The following is a 20084-nucleotide window of genomic DNA, read 5'->3' as shown; positions in this document are numbered from 1 at the left end:
ATCATAGCTCACTGCAACCTCAACTTCCCCGGCTTAAGGTATGACCACACCCAGCTAATTTTTTATTTTTTTATAGAGACAGGGTCTGCCCATGTTGAACTCCTGCGCTCAAGTGATCCTGTCGTCTTGGCCTCCCAAAGAGCTGGGATTACAGGTTTGAGCCACCATTCCCAGCCTCATTTTTTTTTAAAAGCAAAAAGAAATAGGTAAAATTAACTATAATAAGATATTTTATTTAATACAATATATCCAAATAATTGTCAGTTCAGCATGTAATCAATTTAAAAATTGACTGAGATATTTTACTTTATTTTATTCATACTAAACTTTCAAAAATCCAGTGTGTATTTTACACGTCACATCTTAATTCAGATGAGCCCTGTTTCAAGTGCTCAGTAGCTACACGTGGCTAATGGCTGCTGCACTGGATTTGGGGGGCTCTGTAAGAACTGAAAATGGCTATCTCTAGAGAGCCAGGCCTGGTGGCTGAGAAGGGGCAACAAAGGATTGCTGGTTTTCATTATGAACCGTTTAATGCTACTTGGCTTTTTTAATTACACAAAATAAGGTATAAATTAATTTTATATCTAAAATAAGATATAAATCAACTTTAAAATAAAAAGAAATAAAAATACAATTTAAAAATAAATAGTCCCGGGCCTGGCACGGTGGCTCTCAACTGTAATCCCAGCACTTTGGGAGGCCAAGACAGGAGAATTGCTTGAGGCCAGAAGTTTGAGACCAGCCTAGGCAACAGAGTAAAGGCTCCCAACTCTACAAAAAAATAAAAACATTAGCCAGGCGTAGTGGCTCATGCCTGTAGTCCCAGCTACTCAGGAGGCTAAGGCAGAAAGATCACTTGAGCCCAAGAGGTTGAGGCTACAGTGAGCCATGATCGTGCCACTGCAGGGCAGCCTGGGCAACAGAGTGGGATCCTGACTCTGTTAAAAAAAAAAAAAAAAAAAAAAAAATTTAAGTCCTCATGGTCTGGTAGGGAAACTTTGAGTTTTCGGGCATGGCTCTTAGAGGATAAACACATGGTGATTTTAATAACAAGATCAAACATTGAATTCATCAGCTTAAAGCACTAAGGGAATCAGGCCTAAGCCACTGGGGGTACAGAATGGCTCCCTGGCCAATTAACAGCAGCAAGCCAGAGCCTGCTCAGCATCTCTGGGGCTCCTCCCTCTGCCTTATTCAACACCAACCAGCCTCCACCCAGCCCACTCTCACATCCTTCTCTCAGTCGACCAGGGAACACCTGGGTTCAAATCCCGGCGAAGCCACTCACCAACTGTGTTACCTTCTGCCTCAACTGTAACATGAGATTCTTTTATTTTATTTTTGAGACGGAGTTTCACTCTGTCACCCAGCCTGGAGTGCAGTGGCGCGATCTCGGCTCACTGCAACTTCTGCCTCCCAGGTTCAAGTGATTATCCAGCCTCAGCCTCCCAAGTAGCTGTGATTACAGGTGCCTGCCACCACGCCCGACTAATTTTTGTATTTTTAGTAGAGATGGGGTTTTACCACACTGGCCAGGCTAGTCTCAAACTCCTGACCTCAAGTGATCCACCTGCTTTGGCCTCCCAAAGTGCTGGGATTACAGACATAAGCCACTGCGCCTGGCTGGTCACATGAGATTCTTATACCAGTGTGGGATGGGTTGTTTTTGATGATTAAATATGACAACCTTTGTAAAAGGACTTTATAAAAAAAGCATTGCTGTCTGATGCAAGAACTCATGCATACATGAGTAACGGTTGGTTTCTGGTCTCCATGAATGAGTGAGGGGATTTTGAGGGCCTGTTGAGGGGGTCTAATGTGGCTAAAGAGGGGGGTTGTTGGCAACTGCAGGGCTAGAGCCCCTGCTTTGGGGGCAAGAACCTCCGGGAAAGAGCAGAGGGATTTAAAGGCAGTGGGTCTCCAGTGTCCGTGTGCATCCGAATCATGCTCACCAAAAAGAGTGAGTTGTACTGTATGTACCTTTTTTTAAGTAAAATGATACTCAATCCTTGACAAGCCTACTCTGCTGACAGTGTTGGCCGTTGTAGTAAGAAACCCATGATCCTTCTCCTAGGGATTTATGATTTAAACACTTAGTTGAGGCAAAAGGCTGTATTCTAGAAGATCTTCATTGCAACATTTATTTTATATATAAAATATCAAAAAACCTGAAAACGGCCGGGCGCGGTGGCTCATGCTTGTAATCACAGCACTTTGGGAGGCCGAGGAGGGTGGATCACCTGAGGTCAGGAGTTCTCAACCAGCCTGGCCAACATGGTGAAACCTAATAGTATAAATGAAAGCATACCAAGTGCTGTCCATTCCATAGGTACAACTATGGAAAAGTACTTTTGTATTCTAAGAACGAGACGATCACACAAAAAAATGAAAACAGTTATTTTAGAGTGGTGAGATTATGGGCTTCTGTTTTTCTCCAAAAATGTATTTTATATTGTCATGTCCTTTATTCTACAATAAAAAATATTAAGATAAAAGTATCAACATAACTCAGCAGTATTTGAGGGTCTGTGTTTGTGTGTTCATCCAGCCTGAGAACCACAGAGTTGCCATGTGGATCACACAGGGCTCATCCAGAAGGCACCGTGGTCACACTGGGCCCTGGAAAGTCTCAGAAGTTACCAAGAAAATTTCAGGGTTTTCTTCCATCTCCTGCTTTTGTCTCCTTAAACTTTGATGTGCAATACAAATAAATATTACTGGCCAGGGCCAGTGGCTCATGCCTGTGATCCCAGCACTTTGGGAGGCCGAGGCAGGCGGATCACCTGAGGTCAGAAGTTCGAGACCAGCCTGGCCAACATGGTGAAACCCTGTCTTTACTAATAATACAAAAATTAGCCAGGCATGGTGACGCATGCCTGTAATCCCAGCTACTCGGGATGCTGAGGCAGAAGAATCGCTTGAACTCGGGAGGCGGAGGTTGCAGTGAGCCAAGATGGCGCCACTGTACTCCAGCCTGGGTGACAAGAATGAAATTCCCCCTCAAAAAAAAAAATAAATAAATAAATATTACTGCTCCTCAGACTTCTTTCATTAACTGCTTTGCAATGGTGCTATATGCTGCCAGTCTTCCTCGAAAGTACAATGTCTTAGGAAAATTAGCCTGACTTAGCCAAGTCAGGTCAAGAGTTCAACACCAGCCTGGCCAACATGACAAAACCCCGTCTCTACTAAAATTGATCCTGCACATGCTCACTACGGAGGAAACTAATCAGTTTCCTGATCCCCAGGGGGCTTGGGAGGTAGAGATTCATGCATTCTAGAAAGGACTGTTCACATGACACTACTATCTAGGTATAAAAGACTATTTCACATGGTCATAAAATCGCCATGTCTTTATCACTGGGTGTAGGTTAAACCAGACTGTGATATCTAAAGTCATCTTCCTAGAAGTGCTGGGAACGAGCTGCTAATCAGACATAGTAATCACTTTATCTGTGACTATTAATCAGCATAGCAGACAGCCGGTTCCAACCTTTATAGTAGCAGAGTCAATTAGCCAAGACAAAAGCAGCAGACTTTATTTTTCTCAAGCAGCTACCAAAAGATTCCCAAACATATAATAAGAAAATTTGGCCAGGCACGGTGGCTCGCACCTGTAATCCCAGCACTTCAGGAGGCCAAGGCAGGTGGATCACTTGAGGCCAGGAATTCAAGACCAGCCTGGCCAACATGGCAAAACCCTGTCTCTACTAAAAATACAAAAATTAGCCAGGCATGGTGGTGCATGCCTGGGATCCCAACTACTCAGGAGGCTGAGACAGGACAATTGCTTGAACCCGGGAGGCAGAGGTTGCAGTGAGCCCAGATTGCACCACTGCACTCCAGACTGGGCGACAGAGCAAGATGCTGTCTCAAAAAAAAAAAAGAAAATTTTTTTCTTTCTGCTCTGGATTTATGTAGCGGGGAAAAATGTGCCTTTAGTTCCAAACAACTGACAAGTAAATAAGTCTTGGAAAGATACTTTTTGGAGCAGGGGGCTGCCTGTGAGGTTAGAGCTCAGATCTCTCATTGCACATTTAATGCGCAGGCATTCAGCAAAATGCTTCAGAGCAGGAGTGGGGTGGGGAGAGAGGAGAAGACAGGATAACCTAACTCATGTGAGTGCATCTTTCTGATTTTCCACTCTTAAGATTTCTCCCCAGGGTGAGAAAAAGGGAGGCTCTTCTCTCACACAGCCTCCATTTCCACTTGCCTCTCTTGGAGTGGATCTCTCACAGTACCATGTAATCCTAGCGTTTTAATACATTTTGTCCCAACATTTTATTATAAAACTTTTTATTTTATTTTATTTTATTTTAAGACAAGGTCTGTACCCAAGCTGGGGTACAGTGGTGTGAACACAGCTCACTGCTGCCTTGACCTCCTGGGCTCAAGTGATCCTGCTGCCTCAGCCTCACATGTAACTGGAACCACAGGTGCACACCACAATACCCAGCTACTTTTTTGATTTTTTGTAGAAACAGGGTCTCACTTTGTTGCCCAAGCTGGTTTCAAACTCCTGGGCTCAAGCGATCCTCCTGCCTCAGCCTCCCAAAGTGCTGGGATTAGAGGCATGAGCCACCACGCCCAGCCTTATGAAACTTTTCAAATATACAGAAACACTGACAGAATTGTGACAGACAGATCAAACATACAGAAACACTGGCAGAATTGTGAACACATATATCTGCCACCTAGTTTCTACAATTGACTTTTTTTTACTTTTGTACCAGCCTTAATATTATGACAATATTAAATAATAATCCTAAGACAATACTTACGTCGACTGCTTAAAACTTATGTCAAGATGGAACACTACTGAATGCATTTTTGCCTCATATGCCCACCTGACTCTCCACAGTAAGAGGCTTGGGCCCTAGGAGATAAAGTGCATCCACAATCAGTACTATGGAGGTCCCACAACCCTCCCATTCCCTTTTCTCTTTTCTTTTCTCAGGTAACGCAATATTTACTGGACCAATCTTTTGTAATGGATGAAGAAAGCCTCTACGAGTCTTCTCTCCGAATAGAACCAAAACTCCCCACCTGAAGCTGAGCCCAGCCCAGACCCAGCTGCTCCCGGGGACATGTGCTAGATGATACTGTACATATTCGTTTGGTTTCACTGGATTTTCTTCTTCAGTATGTGCTTCTCCAAGAATACAAATCGTCCTTGTTCTTAGATTCCTGTAGAACCGGAATATGAATTTCTGCACCGTTTCAGACTTCGCCCACCCATCCCTCCCCTCGTCTCCTGCAGTGCCTGTTTCTTTTAAACAGCTGTACTCTTGGTCCCTCTTCCCTAGACTCCTCACTCTTCTCAGAGGGGAAACAGCACCCTTGCATACAAGAATCTTAGACTCCAGTCCTGCTTCCGTCCCTCCCCAGCCCAGGCTCCTGGGTTGAGGTGGCCACCCAGGCATCCTCCCAGCATGTTCCATGTAGTTGTTATAACTGGGTGGGGGGTGGGGGGCGGCGGGAGGGGGAAACCATACCCTGAAGTCCAGTCATTGACAAATCTTCCCGCTGATGGTGATGTCAATTTCCAAAGCAGCTTCTCCAGCCAAAATCGCAGGTCTCAAAACTCCCCATGTGTCTCCCAGTAACCTGGACGGAAGGGAGTCCTCTCTGCTCAGAACCACACCCCTCGTACCAATGCTGCCATCTCGTTCAGGCCCCACGTCGCTCCTTGCTCTAGGATTAACACCAGATAGCATGAATAGCAGTCTCAATACAACTGGATGAGGCCCTAGACTTCCCGAGGAAATGGAGTCACAAACACCAAGCCACGTCGACTCTTGCCGACCACTGGCCCAGCATCCACTGAAAGTCGGGAACACAAAAATGTCACTTTTCCTCTTTAAGCTGCCTAACGGTCACTACAAGCTTACATTGAGATGCTCTAAGTCTGTATACCTTGTGATAATTAGTACCACACTGTAGAATTAGGAAATCAATAACCAAGTGTTTTTATTGCATATACTGTAGTCCTGTCTAAATGCCTTCTAGCAGGAATATAGTAATGTAGTGCTTATTCTGTGAATATTACCATGTATTTTTTACACTGTACAGTATAGAAAACACAGGTTAACTCCGAAGTGGCAGGCATGCTCCACTACAACAGACAGACAACTTTTGCTGTAAGCAATACCTAGTGGTATGAGAATTCTATTTCAAGTCCTAAAATATTTCAACTTACAGCTTGTTTGGAAAAAAATTTCCATTTTTGTAAAAATATATGTTTCCTGATTACCTCTTGCTAATAAATCTATTCTATCTCAGGGTGAACAGCGAGTTTTGATGGGTTTCATTCGTTCAGTCAAGGAATATTTGATGAGCACTTGCTCCTTACCCAGCCCAGCCTGGGACCGGAGATCCAGAGTGTCAAGGACACCATACCTGCTTTTTAGGCACCAACAGTTTGGTGGGGAAGACTGTTTCAGTTGCCTATTGCACCAAGAACAAGCCACTCCAAAACATAATGGCTTAAAACCATTTTTGTTACCTTTCACAGTTCTATGGGTTGACTGGGTCCAGCTGTCAGTTCTTATTTGGAGTCTCTCATGAAGTTTCAGTCACTCAGCAACTGGGACTGGAGTCATCTGAAGGCTCAACTGGACCGGGTGGTGCTCTAGTTGGTGCACCAAGATGGCGCTGTCACATGGCTGGATGTTGATGTCTGCTGGGCTGCACTGGGGCTGTTCATGGGAGCATCCACACGTGGCCTCTCTGTGTGGCTTGGGCTCCTCACAGTCCGGAAGCTGGGTTCCAAGAGCGACTGTTCCAGCAGCCTCAGGCAGAAGCTACAAGGCTGCCCAGATGCCATCCTGCCCAGATGTGTCCTCACTGTCACCCAGGAAGGGAAGCCCCGGAACACCACCCTCAGTCACAGGCATGGGGCCCACTGCAAGGCACAACCCACTCCAGAGCTCCCAAGGCCGCCTCCCCTGGGACCTGCAGCCAGCTGGCTCCATAACTGCTTTTCCGTTTCCTCCAGGCATTTTCATCCTAGCCCTACTTTGTGCTGGGATCTGAGGGGGATAGCAAGCGGAGAAAGAAGGGATCTAGAGGGAGAAGATTCTAGATCCTTCTTTTGACTGCCAGCTGATTTTGATTGCCAGCTTTACCTGCTTCATGAGCTCAGCCAAGTCACTTAACCTCTCAGAGCTTCACTGTTCTCATCTGAAAAATGGGGATGAAAATGGTATCTCATTACAGAGTAGAATTAAATGAATTATTATAATTAATGGTATTAAGTACTATTAAACAGTTAATGGTAAAGAAGGAAGAATGTGTTTTGAGGTGCCAATGAAGTAGTATAAGACAAGCTGCTTTGTTAAGCAAGACATCAGCTGTTACTCCTGGCACCAAAAGCCGTCCTGGGGTTCCATGGGTCAGTGGCCTTGATACCAAAACAAACTTGGGCCCACCTGCCCGGCACAGCAAAGCCAAGCACTGACATTGGGATTGCAGCGAGAGAAAGTGAGGCATTTATTGCAAGGGCACCAAGCAAGATGAATCACGCCGCTCATGCTTAACACCTGAACTTAAGTCTTTACCCTACCTGATGGCTTACAGGTAAGAGTTTTTAAAGTTGGGATGGCAGGGGTTACAGGCAAGGTCATAAATCAACCACAGAGGCTACACATTGGTTGATGTATAAAGGCGGGACATCTTCAGGGGGGTGCCGTGCACCGGTCATAGGTGGACTCAAAGATTTTCTGGGCCAGGCTCAGTGGCTCACACCTGTAATGCCAGCATTTTGGGAGGCCGAGGCGGGAGGATTGCCTGAGCTCAGGAGTTCGAGACCAGCCTGGGAAACATAGTGAAACCCCGTCTCTACTAAAAATACAAAAAATTGGCCAGGCACAGTGGCTCACGCCTGTAATCCCAGCACTTTGGGAGGCCGAGGTGGGCAGATCACAAGGTCAGGAGATCGAAACCATCCTGGCCAACATGGTGAAACTCCATCTCTACTAGAAATACAAAAAAATTAGTTGGATGTGGTGGCAGGCGCCTGTAATCCCAGCTACTCGGGAGGCTGAGGCAGGATAATCACTTGAACCCAGAAGGCAGAGATTGCAGTGAGCCAAGATCGCACCACTGCCCTCCAGCCTGGTGACAGAGTGAGACTCCATCTCAAAAAAAAAAAAAAAAAATTAGCTGGGCATGGTGTTGCACACCTGTAATCCCAGCTGCTGGGGAGGCTGAGGCACAAGAATTGCTTGAACCTGGGAGGCAGAGGTTTCAGTGAGCCGAGATAGCACAACTGTCCTCCAGCCTGGGCGACAGTGCGAGACTCTGTCTCAAAATAAATAAATAAATAATAATAAATAAAATTTTTAAAGATTTTTCTGATTTGTAATTGGTTAAGGAAGAGAAGCTTTGTCTAAAAATTTGGGATCAGCAGAAAAAAACGTTAGCTCTGGCTTGTGGGCATGACCTCCCACAGGCCCCTCAGGAAGAAATTTAGAACAAAACTGCAGTCAGAGTTCAGTTCTATGTGCTAGCGGGTCCATTTGGTGGGGTCTCTTCCTCTTCACCGAAGGTGAAAAGCACAGTTGGGCGGCTTGGCCTTCCAGCCTCAGCAGGGAGGCTTCTGCCTCTGTCCCTACAAGCAGACACTGGGGCAATGGATGCATCAGATTGGAAGTCAAGCATTTCTTCATTTATTCAAAATAGGAAGGCAGCGTGGTGGAGTGATTACAAATTCTAGAGCAGGCCGGGCGTGGTGGCACACACCTGTGATCCCAGCCGAGGCGGGCGGATCACTTGAGGTCAGGAGTTCAAGACCAGACTGGCCAACATGGTCAAACCCTGTCTCTACTAAAAATACAAAAATTAGCTGGGCATTGTGACGTGCCTGTAATCCCAGCTACTCTGGAAGCTGAGGCAGGAGAATCGCTTGAACCCCAGAGGTGGAGGTTGCAGTGAGCCAGGATCGCACCACTGCACTCCAGCCTAGGCGACAGAGCGAGACTGTCTCAAAACAAAAACAAACTCTAGAGCAGCGATTACCAACGGGGTGATTTTACTCCTCGCCTCAGAGTCTGGAGACATTTTTGGTGGTCACAGTTGGGGAGGCCAGGTGATACATCTACTAGGTAGAGACCAGAGATGCTGCTAAATAGCCTACAATGCACAGGACAGCCCCCACCACAAAGAACTATCCAGCCCAAAATGTCAATCATGCCGAGGTTGAGAATCCCTGCTCTAGAGCCAGACTGCTCAGGTTCAAATCCCGGCTTCACTGCTTACTAGCCATACGACCTTAGGCAAGTTACGAGACCACTCTATGCCTCAGTTTTCCCACCTGTGCAATGGAGACAAGCATAGTACCTGCCTTGCAAAGTTGTTGTATTAAATGAGCTGCTACAGGTGAGGTGATCAGCACGTGGCAAGTGCTTGAGAACCATCAGCTGTTGTTCATTCATGAACTATTTCTAGAGCACTTACTTTGTATCAGGCCCCATTCCAGGCATTGCTGACTTAATGAACAAAGCAAACAAGATCCCTGCCCACACAAGGCCTATGTTCTAGTGGGCGGTGGACAGTGAGCAATTTTTTAAAATACCCAAGGAGGCTGGGCACGGTGGCTCATGCCTGTAATCCCAGCACTATGGGAGGCCAGAGGTGGGTGGATCACCTGAGATCGGGAGTTCGAGACCAGCCTGATCAATATGGAGAAACACCATCTCTACTAAAACTACAAAATTAGCTGGGCATGGTGGCCTGTGCCTGTAATCCCAGCTACTCAGGAGGCTGAGGCAGGAGAATCACTTGAACCCAGGAGGTGGAGGTTGCGGTGAGCCGAGATCGCACCATTGCACTCCAGCCTGGGCAACAAGGGCAAAACTCCATCTCAAAAAAAAAAATTAAATAAATAAATAAATAAAATGAAATACCCAAGGTAGGGCAATAAAGACCACGAGGACAACCATTAGGGGAACACTGAGGCTGGGACATCTAGCCTGAAACTTGGATAATGCAAAGCCAGACACCTATTGTTAAGGAAGCTGTGAGGTCATCACTCACTCACCTTGAGAGGACTCCTCTTATAGGCCTGCTGGGCACCCCCCAGGGATGGAAATAAAGGAAAATCTTGAGTTCCTTCAAGGGAAATTCCAGGCACCTAGCTCTCCCTGAGAAGCAAATGAGAAACTTGATAAGCAAGAAGGTAACAGTAGCCTGAAACAATAGCCAAGGAAGTTAGAGTGTTGGGATGTTTCCTATGGAAACCAAAGATAACCTCTTAATATATGTTATTTTTCAGAAACCCAGATGACCCTGGCACATAGACCTCAGGTAAGGGGGAACCAGGACTAACCGCTGTCCCCTACTCTTTGCTCTTCCTGAGGGGCCTGGAGGAGGTCATGCCCACGAGCCAGAGCTAACATTCTTTTCTGCTGATCCCAAATGTTTAGACAGAGCTTCTCTTCCTTAACCAATTACAAATCAGAAAATCTTTGAATCCACCTATGACCCATGCCCCCCTCCCCAAGATGTCTAGACTTTTTAGGTCCAACCAAATATATAGCCTCCATGTTTTGGAGGTTTGTTGGTGGTGTTTTTTTGTTTGTTTGTTTTTGTTTTTGTTTTTGAGACAGAGTCTCACTCTGTCACCCAGGCTGGAGTGCAGTGGCGCGATCTCGCTCACTGCAAGCTCCGCCTCCTGGGTTCATGCCATTCTCCTGCCTCAGCCTCCAGACTAGCTGGGACTACAGGCGCCCACCACCACGCCTGGCTAATTTTTTGTATTTTTAGTAGAGACAGGGTTTCACTGTGTTAGCCGGGATGGTCTCGATCTCCTGACCTCATGATCCACCCGCCTCGGCCTCCCAAAGTGCTAGGATTACAAGCGTGAGCCACCGCGCCCAGCCTGTTGGTGGTGGTGTTGTTGTTGTTGTTGTTGTTGTTGTTGGTGGTGGTGGTGGTGGTGGTGGTGGTGGTGGTGTTTATTTGAGACAGGGTCTCACTCTGTTGCCCAGGCTGGTGTGCAGTGGCATGATCATAGCTCATTGCAGCCTCAACCTGCTAGGCTCAGGTGATCCTCTTGCCTCCGCCTCCCAAGTAGGTAGGCCCACAGGTGTGTGCCACCTTGCCCAGCCTGCCTCCATGTATTGATTTATGACATTGCCTGTAACCTCTGCCTCTCCATCTTTAAAAGCCCTTGCTGTAAGCCATGAGGGAATTCAGTCTTAAGTATGAGCTGCCCAATTCCCCTTGCTGGGTGCCCTGCAATCATTGCCTCCCTTTCTCTTACTGCAATCCCAATGCCAGTGCTTGGCTTTGCTGTACCAGGTGGGCAGACCCAAGTTCTGTTTGGTAACAACCTGCTGCAGATGGTCAGTGTTCTGATCCGGCAGGAGGCACTGGGCAATTCTCAGGGGCTTTCTCAGGACCTACACTAGGATGAGGCAAGAGAAGCACCCACCCAGGCATAACATTTAAGGGGCCACCAAAAAAAAAAAACAGTATTATTATTGAAATGAATAACATTTTACGGCAATATTTTAAAAAGTCAAAATTTACAATAAAATCCACAATGACCAAAATACCAAAATCATCAAAGACAGGATCAATATTTCTGGTGTTCTTCTTTTGCCTCACTCTTCAAAATGGCAGACACTGGGCTTCTTGGCCCTTGGTCAATGAATCATAAAATACTTCTAGTGTCACGAAAGGAAATAGCACTCCAGGCTCTAGGCTAGTTCCTGGGGAGAGAGGCAGCGGATTTGGTTAGCTTCTCTGTTTACTGGCGGATGTACGTGGTTGGTTGGATTTTTAGGGTCTCCCCTCCCAACTCTGTGAAGGAGTTTTTTAAAGTCAGCACAAAAGAAAGTTTGTACCTGGCCTATTAGCATTCTTTGGTGTAAGTGGGTTTCACAATGGCAGATGGTGTCACCTGTTGATGTATGACTGCCCCTCAGCAGGCTTCATGCTCTTGCCTGGTGTTTAGTGATTACAGTCTCTTTCCCAAGAGTGGCCCTGTGGAGGCTTCCCTGGCTGCCAGGCCAATAACAAGCTGAAGAGGCAGGTTGTTATTGTCAGGGGAGTATGAAGGTGCCACCCAAAACCACCCAGCCTTCAAGTATTCATGAAGCGCCTGTGTGTGCATACCTAGGTAACAAGCATCTAACCAGCTCCTGACCTCCCCGAGCCCATGACCCAGCTGAAGAGTGGAAAACCACAAGTCAAATAACATGTGTCTAGCTCCCAGCCCACACATCACTCCAGACTCCAGATCCTTATAGCCAACCACCTAGACGCCGTCTCGATTTGGGGGCCCTATTTCCACCTCCAATTCACCTGGACCAAACTGACCTCATTTTCTCCATCATATCTCAGTTCCTTCAACCCCCAACTCAGTTGTGCAGGCCAGAACCAAAGTTAATAATAAATGTCAGAGCAAGGGTCTCCTGTCAGGTTCACCTTGCCTTCCCACTTCCCTGCCTTCGTCAAAGCTCTTCCCTCCACCCTGAGCACCATTTTTGCTCTGTCTTTTCTGCCTTTCCAAATCCCATCCTTCTTCAAATGTCCTTCCCTCCAGGAAGCCTTTCCTGATTTTCTCCCAGCCAAGGGCTTCATCTGTACCCATCTCAGGTCAATAGGCTCTATCTGATGGCACAGACCCATGTCACTTCCCTCACACGAGATTCTACATGGGCCAGGGAAGTCTGACTTGGCTATTGTCTCATGCAGCAAACTGATCCATGTCTGACCCATGGGAGATGCTCAGGAGTCAGGTCTGATTCAAAGTGGGGCTCCACAAAAAAGGAGATAAAGTGGACTTCACCCAAATTATAACTTCTGTGCATCAAAGGACATCATTAAGAAAATGAAAGGACAACCTATAGAAGGGCAGAAAATATTTGCAAATCAAGTATCTCACAATGGTTTAGTATTCAGAATACACAGAGAACACCTATAACTCAACAACAAAAACCAGACAAGCCAATTAAAGATCAATTAGCCAAGCATGGTGATGGGCACCTATAATCCCAGATACTTGGGGTGCTGAGGCAGAAGAATCGCTTGAACCCAGGAGGCGGATGTTTCAGTGAGCCAAGATCGGGCCATTGCACTCCAGCCTGGGCAATAGAGCAAAAACTTCATCTAAAAAAAAAAAATAGACAAGAGATTCGAATAGATATTTCTCCAGAGAAAATGCACAAATGGCCAACAAGCACATGAAAAGATGTTCAATACCACTGGTCATTAGGGAAATACATATCAAAACCACAATGAGATACCACTTCATGCCCACTAGAAGAGTTATGATCTAAAAAAAATGGAAAATAATAAGTGTCAGTGAGAATATGGAAAAATAAGAACCCTCATACATTGCTGATGGAAATGTTAAATGGTTCGGCTGCTGTGAAAAAATAGTCTGGCAGTTTCTCAAAAAATAAAGAGAGTCACCATATGACCCAGCAATTCCACTCCTAGGTTTATATCCAAGAGAAACAAAAATGTGTCTACACAGAAACTGGTACACAAATGTTTATAGCAGCATTATTCATAATAGCCAAAAGGTGAAAACAAGCCAAATGTCCATCAACAGATGAGTGGATTTTAAAAACGTAGTATAGGCCAGGTGCGGGGTGGCTCACACCTGCAATCCTAGCACTTTGGGAGGCTGAGCCTGAGGATGAATTGCTTGAGCTCAGGAGTTCCAGATCAGCCTGGGCAACATAGTGAAACCTTGTCTCTACAAAAAAAAATACAAAAATTAGCTGGGCATGGTGGGGAGTGCCTGTGGTCCCAGCTACTCAGGAGAGTAAGGTGGGAGGATCGCCTGAGCCTGGGAGATGGAGGATTCAGTGAGCTATGATCACGCCAACGCACTCCAGCCTGGGCAACAGAGGGAGACTCTGTCTCAAAACCCTGTCTCAAAAACAAAAACAGGTCCCGTCGCTACTAAAAATACAAAAATTAGCTGGACGTGGTGGCAAGCACCTGTAATCCCAGCTACTCAGGGTGGCTGACACAGGAGAATCACTTGAACCCGGAGGCAGAGGTTGCAGTGAGCCAAGATTGCACCACTGCACTCCAGCCTGGGTGACAGAGCGAGACTCCATCTCAAAACACACCCACACATACACAAACACACACACAAAACATAGTATAGCCATACAATAAAATATTACTCAGCTTTAAAAAGAAATAAGTACTAACGCATGCTATAACTTGGAAGAACCTAGAAAACATTACGCTGAGAGAAGAGAGACACAAAAGGTCTCTTATCATATGATTCCTCTTACATGAAGTGTCCAGAATAGGCAAATCCATAGACACAGAAAGCCGAGTAGTGGGTGCCAGGGGAATGGGGTGGGGAGAGGGGAATGAGGAATAATTAGTTCATGGGTATGGGGTGTTCTTTGCAGGTGATGAAAAAGTTTGGAAACTAGAGAGAGGTGATAGTTGCACAACATTATAAATGCACTAAACACCTCTGAATTATACACTTCAAAATGGCCTATTTCATGTTATGTGAATTTTGCCTCAACAAAACGAGGAAAACTGGCTGTAACTGCTCATTCACAAAGCACTTCAGATGTGATCAGGAGATTATGTAGATTAATGGGATAACTGAATTGCATACCTTAAAATGGCTGAGTATATGATATATGAATTTCACTTTAATTTTTTAAAAGTTAAAAAAAAAGAAAGAAAAAGGGATTGGCAAGGCAGAGCTTCTCAGAGGAAGGGTCTTAAACTTGTTCTTGAAGGAATAGAAGAAGCCCAGGGTTTCTGGAGAGAAGAGGGGCTGGGGTGACCCAGATAAGGTAGACGTAAGTGATGGGTTGAGCTGCAATGGGGTGAGGAGTCCAGGGAGAGAGGGACCCTGGGGGCGGCAGGGAGGTAGAGGCAGGTGGCGGGTGGGTGGGCCTGGGTATGGGGCTGGGTGGGTGGCTGGTCCCGGAAGTGTGCAGAGGCACCACAATAGGGCTTTGGTGCTGAAATCTTGCAGGCTCAGTTCCTACCTGGCCTGATTCCATTTTCATTCAGTCAAGCCCTTATCAGCCCTTGTTTGCTTGTTTACTATGCAATTATTACCCAAATCAGACCAAGTGACTCATGACCCAGAAATAGTCAAGGCCCTTCTCATCGCCAGGAAGGGGAGTTAGGAATGTTCTGCTCACGTCGGGCAGGTCCAAGCAAACTTGCAATCCTCTCTGGTCACTGCCTCTTCTGGGTCTCTCCATGGCCCCAACTGTGCCTTTCTATTTCTTTGTTCCCTCTAAACCTTGCACCCACCTGCAAACACCATCCACCCATTTTTGCTTCTCTCGAGAGACTTCTCAAGGCACCCACAAGCCTAATCAGGAGGTGAGTACAGCACCTCCAAATGTCTTTATTCCAGGACCCGAAGCCCTTCAAACATCACCTTCAATGCCACAAGCCTTTTACCATCTGACTCAGAATAAACAGTAACAACCACTGCTACTGCTACTGCTACCATTTGTGTTGTGCCTGCAGAGAGCCAGGCTCTGTGTTTGAGCACTAACACACGAGTGTGTTCCATTTCACTGAAGACACAGGAAACCAGGGAAGTGATTTTCAAAATATTTAACCACCAGTGTGGCGTGGGCACTGAACCACTCAGACTCACGGCCAAACTGGTACAAACTGGCTAAAGATCAGTCAGCTGCAGGAAACCCTGAAAAGTCATAAAGGATTAAACGTGAGTGTGTGGTGCAGATTATTAATTCAGGAGTTCAGGAAGAGGAAGTTTCCGTAGAGGAAAAATTCAACTGGGGTGAAATTTGGAATGGGTTGGGGACGGTGTGGCTAAGAAAGAGGAGAGGTGGGCAGAAGAATTGGGATGGGGCTGTGTCCAGGACAGGAAGTAGACCTGTGAACTGATGCTGAGTGCAGTGGTGGTGGGCATTACAAGCAGGATAAGGAAAAATCACAGAGGGTCCTAAGTGCAAAGCAAAGGAGTATAGGCTGTGAAAATTTGTGAACAAAGAGAGACTGAAGGAGGCCCTGGAGAAGAAACAACGAGGCTGTAACTGTGGGATTCAGAACTCCTGCCTCTGAACTCCAACTTCCCCTAGAGGTAGGAATTATGCCAACTAAGCTGGGATAAGCTCACACTGCACGGGAGTTTGCAGCTTGCAGAAAAGTCCAGAAATGAGTACTCTGTTACAGGGCCAGGACTAGGGCGAGAGCAGTGAGGCATACTACTGAGGTGCAAAATGTCAGGGAGTGTCCAAAAATGCAGTAATCAAGATAAATAATACTTGAATGCAATGTTTTAAAATGAAAAGTTAATGCAAAAAACACATGGTGAGCAAAATGTCACGTTTTAAAAATAAATATGGGATCAGGCAGTCGCTCGCGCCTGCAATCCCAGCACTTTGGGAGGCCGAGGCGGGCGGATCACCTGAGGTCAGGAGTTTGAGAACAGCCTGGCCAACATGGTGAAACCCCGTCTCTACTAAAAATACAAAAATTAGCCAGGCGTGGTGGCGGGTGCCTGTAATCCCAGCTACTCAGGAGGCTGAGACGAGAGAATTGCTTGAACCTGGGAGGCGGAGGTTGCAATGAGCCGAGATAGCACCATTGTACTACAGCCTGGGCAACAAGAGTGAAACTCCGTCTCGAAAATAAATAAATAAATAATCGACCTTTGGACTTGCACAGCATAACCTCGCTGCTTCACCCTGATCCTGGCTGTGATGAAACACCAGCTTCTGGACTTTTCTGCAGGTCTCCACACTTTTCTTGGCTGTGGGTGCAGCATCTCCAGGGTTTGGCCAAAGGGGTGGTGTTCTCCATGTTCTCTGGCTTTCCAGGGGACAAACAGTGCCTTCTCATTCAGTCAATGGACATTTTTCAGGCTGGAATTCTCTGACCCACAGCCAAGGGAAGTAATCAAGGTGGCTAGGCAGGATGTCTCCTGGCCAACAGAACTAACAAGAGTTCAAATTCACATTACAAGGCAGCTGAAGCTCCTTTGGTGGCTGAACCTCCTTGATGCGGACTTACACCCCTACTGTATTCGTTACCTTTTCCACTCTACAAACTTTGGTCACTCATCCCTGCATCCATTCATCCCTCCTTCCACCCATCCATCCAACAATACAGCTGTTGGTCCATCTTGCCATGGACAGAGCCGTCTATCCAGCCATCCCTTCTTCTATTCATTCATCCACACATGCATCCAAACACATAGCCAGGCACCCAACCACTGAGCCAATCCCCTACCGACCTACCATATAAAATCAGCCTGTGGATGTGGAAGGAGTCCCACCTCTTACCAGCAGGCCTACTTAACTTCTCCAAGTCTCAATCTCTTCATCTGAAAATTGAGTATGTGTATGCTCATAAGGGCCTTCACAGGGTTGTTATGAGCAGTAAATAACAAAACCCATGTGAATGGTGGCTATTATATTACCATGGTAAGAAAATGAATGTGGCAAAAGGCCCAGCTTGTCTGCTACAATGTTGGCTCTAACAGGTGATCTGGAAAACCAGTCAAACCTGTAGTTAACAGTTGTGGGGGGTGGGGGAGGGGGGTGATAAAGTTGTGTTATCCTTTTTGTTATCCCCAGATTCAGCTTAAGGAAAAGAATAAATGGATGTGGGGCAGGTAACAATGACTAGAACATTCATGCAGGAGGCATTCTGCATGCAGGCAGTGACTGCAGATTCCAGGACCTGTGGTTAGCGGACTCCTATTGATGTTTCTGGGAACTCTAGACCTGGAAGTTCAGGTAGGTAGGCAAGCCTCAGGACTCATCGTCATCACTTGTTCCCATGGGGCAAATGCTTTAGTGGAGAACTCTGGACTCAGGTAGCCAGGGGTTCATAGCAGGGGTTCAAATCCCACTCTTACTTACTTGTGTGGCCTTAGACAATGTACGTAAGTGCCTCAATTACCCCATCCGTACAATGGGGATTAAGAAGTGAAGATTCTGCTGATACGGTGGCTCAGGCCTATAATCCTAGCACTTTGGGAGGCCGAGGCAGGTGGGTTGCCGGAGCTCAGGAGTTTGAGACCCGCCTGGGCACCATGGAGAAACCCTGTCTCCACTAAGATACAAAAAATTAGCTGGGCGTGGTGGTGGGCACCTGTAATCCCAGCCACTTAGGAGGCTGAAGCAGGAGAATTGCTTGAACTGGGGAGGCGGAGGTTGCAGTGAGCCGAGATCGTGCCATTGCACTCCAGCCTGGGCGACAGAGCGAGACTCTGTCTCCAAAAAAACTAAATAAAAATAAAATAAAAGGTGAAGAGTCACAAAGTTTATTTGTGTGAGGCACTTGGAGCAGGGTCCAACACATCCCCACAAGAGGTCATGACTCTGACCATGGATAGGCCTGTTCTTTGCCCTTGGCCTCTCAGCCCCCATATGCACCAGACCTTCAGACCAATGAGGCACCTGCCAGTTTGGGTGTTTCATCTGGTGTATTGGTTTCTTCCTATTGTTGTGTTCTAATTACCACAAACTTAGAGGCTTATAATAGCACAAATGTACTCTACGGAAGTTCTGTAAGTCAGAAGTCCATGTGGACTTGGTTGGTTCCCTGGAGGGTCTGGGGGAGAATCTGCTTCCAAGCTCATTCAGAGGGCTGGCAGAATGCAGTTCCATGCTGGTGAAGGGCTGAGGTCCTGGTTTCCTTGCTGGCTGTCACTACGGCCAGCTTCTATAGGTTGCCTGTGTACCTTGGCTTTGGCCCTCTTCAAAGCCAGCAGTGGCAGATAGAGTCCTTCTCATGATTCAGCGCTCTCTGACCCCACCTGCCTCATCCCCCCTCTGACTTCTCCAACCTCTCCTTCTGCCCCCTCTCTCCGACTCTTCTCCTATGCTCTTCTGCTTCTAAAGGCCCACATGATTCCACAGGGCCCCTCGGATAACCCAGGATAATCCTATTTAAAGTCAGCTGATTCAAACGTTGATTCCATCCGCAAAGTCCTCCATGGCAGTCGCTAGATTGTGCTTGAGTGAATAGGAAGCTTTCGAGTTCTGCCTACCAGCCCTGTCCAGCCAAGACTGTGCCAGCAGCTGCAGTCCTCAGCCTCATTTCTGTAGAGGTGTAGAGGACTGGAACCACGGAGAAGCCCTCCAGCCAGCTGGAGCCAGAGGGTCAGACAAACTCACCATGAAAAGTGTGTGCAGGTAGCAAAGGATAAAAAGCACACAACGGAGCATCAGAAAAGCCCATGCATGGGGGGAGTCTCTATTCTGGTGCCATGCTCAGGGCCAGGTATTTTACCTATAATTATATTTAAACTGCATGACCGTATCTAACTACCCTGGAAAGCAGGGATACTTGCTCCATTTTACAGATGAGGAAACTGAGGCTGGTGGGGGGGAGGCGGGGGGGAACCATTTGCTTAGGTCACACAGTGAATCTGTAGTAGGGCTAGAACCAAACATTGGTCTCCAATTAACCAGGTCAGTGCCCTCCACATCTCAGCACCCAGGGGCCCTGGCCTGCTGGAACGATCCACAAAGGAGGGTCACCAGGGACCTAGCGCAGGAGGCAGCTCTGGGGCCTGAGGTCTAGCATGCAGAGCTTTCAATTCTGACATCCTCCAAGTGGCTGGGATGGGCAGAGGGGTGAAGCATTCCAGGTACACATGAAGGGCAGGACATCTGCCTAGAAGGACACCTTTATCCCAAGGCCAGCGACTTCTGTTCCAAATAGTAACCGAGCAGGGTCTTTTCTGAGACATATGCCTCAAAGCACAGAGAGACTGGTCACACCCAGAGAGGGGCATCCAGACAGAGATGGAGTCACAACCTAAGGAAGATCTGCTTTATCTGAAAAAAGGTGCCTGCTGGAGCTCACCCTGGTTCCATGGAGATTCCATGTCCACATGCCACACTGGCCACAGGAGAGGAGAGAGACTGTGGGGGAGGCTCTTTAAATGCAGATTTCTGAGCCCTACCCAGACCCAGTAGGTCATATCCCAGGAAAGAAGTCCAGGAATCTGCTTCCCCAGGTGCCTGAGACACAGAGTCTGGGCTAGAACATCAGGGGATGAAACACCAGTCGGAGGGAGGCCACGAGAGAGCTCAGATCTGGCTCTACTCACAGGTTGGAAAGATGCATTTTTAAAAAGA

At 47.0% G+C, this 20084-nt stretch overlaps 1 protein-coding gene across 6 annotated transcripts in view; it reads left to right on the top strand.

The window, feature by feature from the left end:
• The window catches only part of RASGRF1 (Ras protein specific guanine nucleotide releasing factor 1), a 130875-nt gene extending 123584 nt beyond the window's left edge, over positions 1-7291 (top strand). For all 6 annotated transcript variants that reach the window (NM_001145648.3, XM_017022456.3, XM_017022455.3 and 3 more), the window contains one exon: positions 4961-7291. In NM_001145648.3, the coding sequence (NP_001139120.1) occupies positions 4961-5053 (93 nt within the window). In that variant the 3' untranslated portion in view covers positions 5054-7291. The remainder of the gene's footprint in view (positions 1-4960) is intronic.

This window comes from Homo sapiens, chromosome 15 (assembly GCF_000001405.40).
Source record: "Homo sapiens chromosome 15, GRCh38.p14 Primary Assembly".
NCBI classification, from domain to species: domain Eukaryota; kingdom Metazoa; phylum Chordata; class Mammalia; order Primates; family Hominidae; genus Homo; species Homo sapiens.
This window is presented reverse-complemented; position numbering and strand designations above follow the sequence as displayed.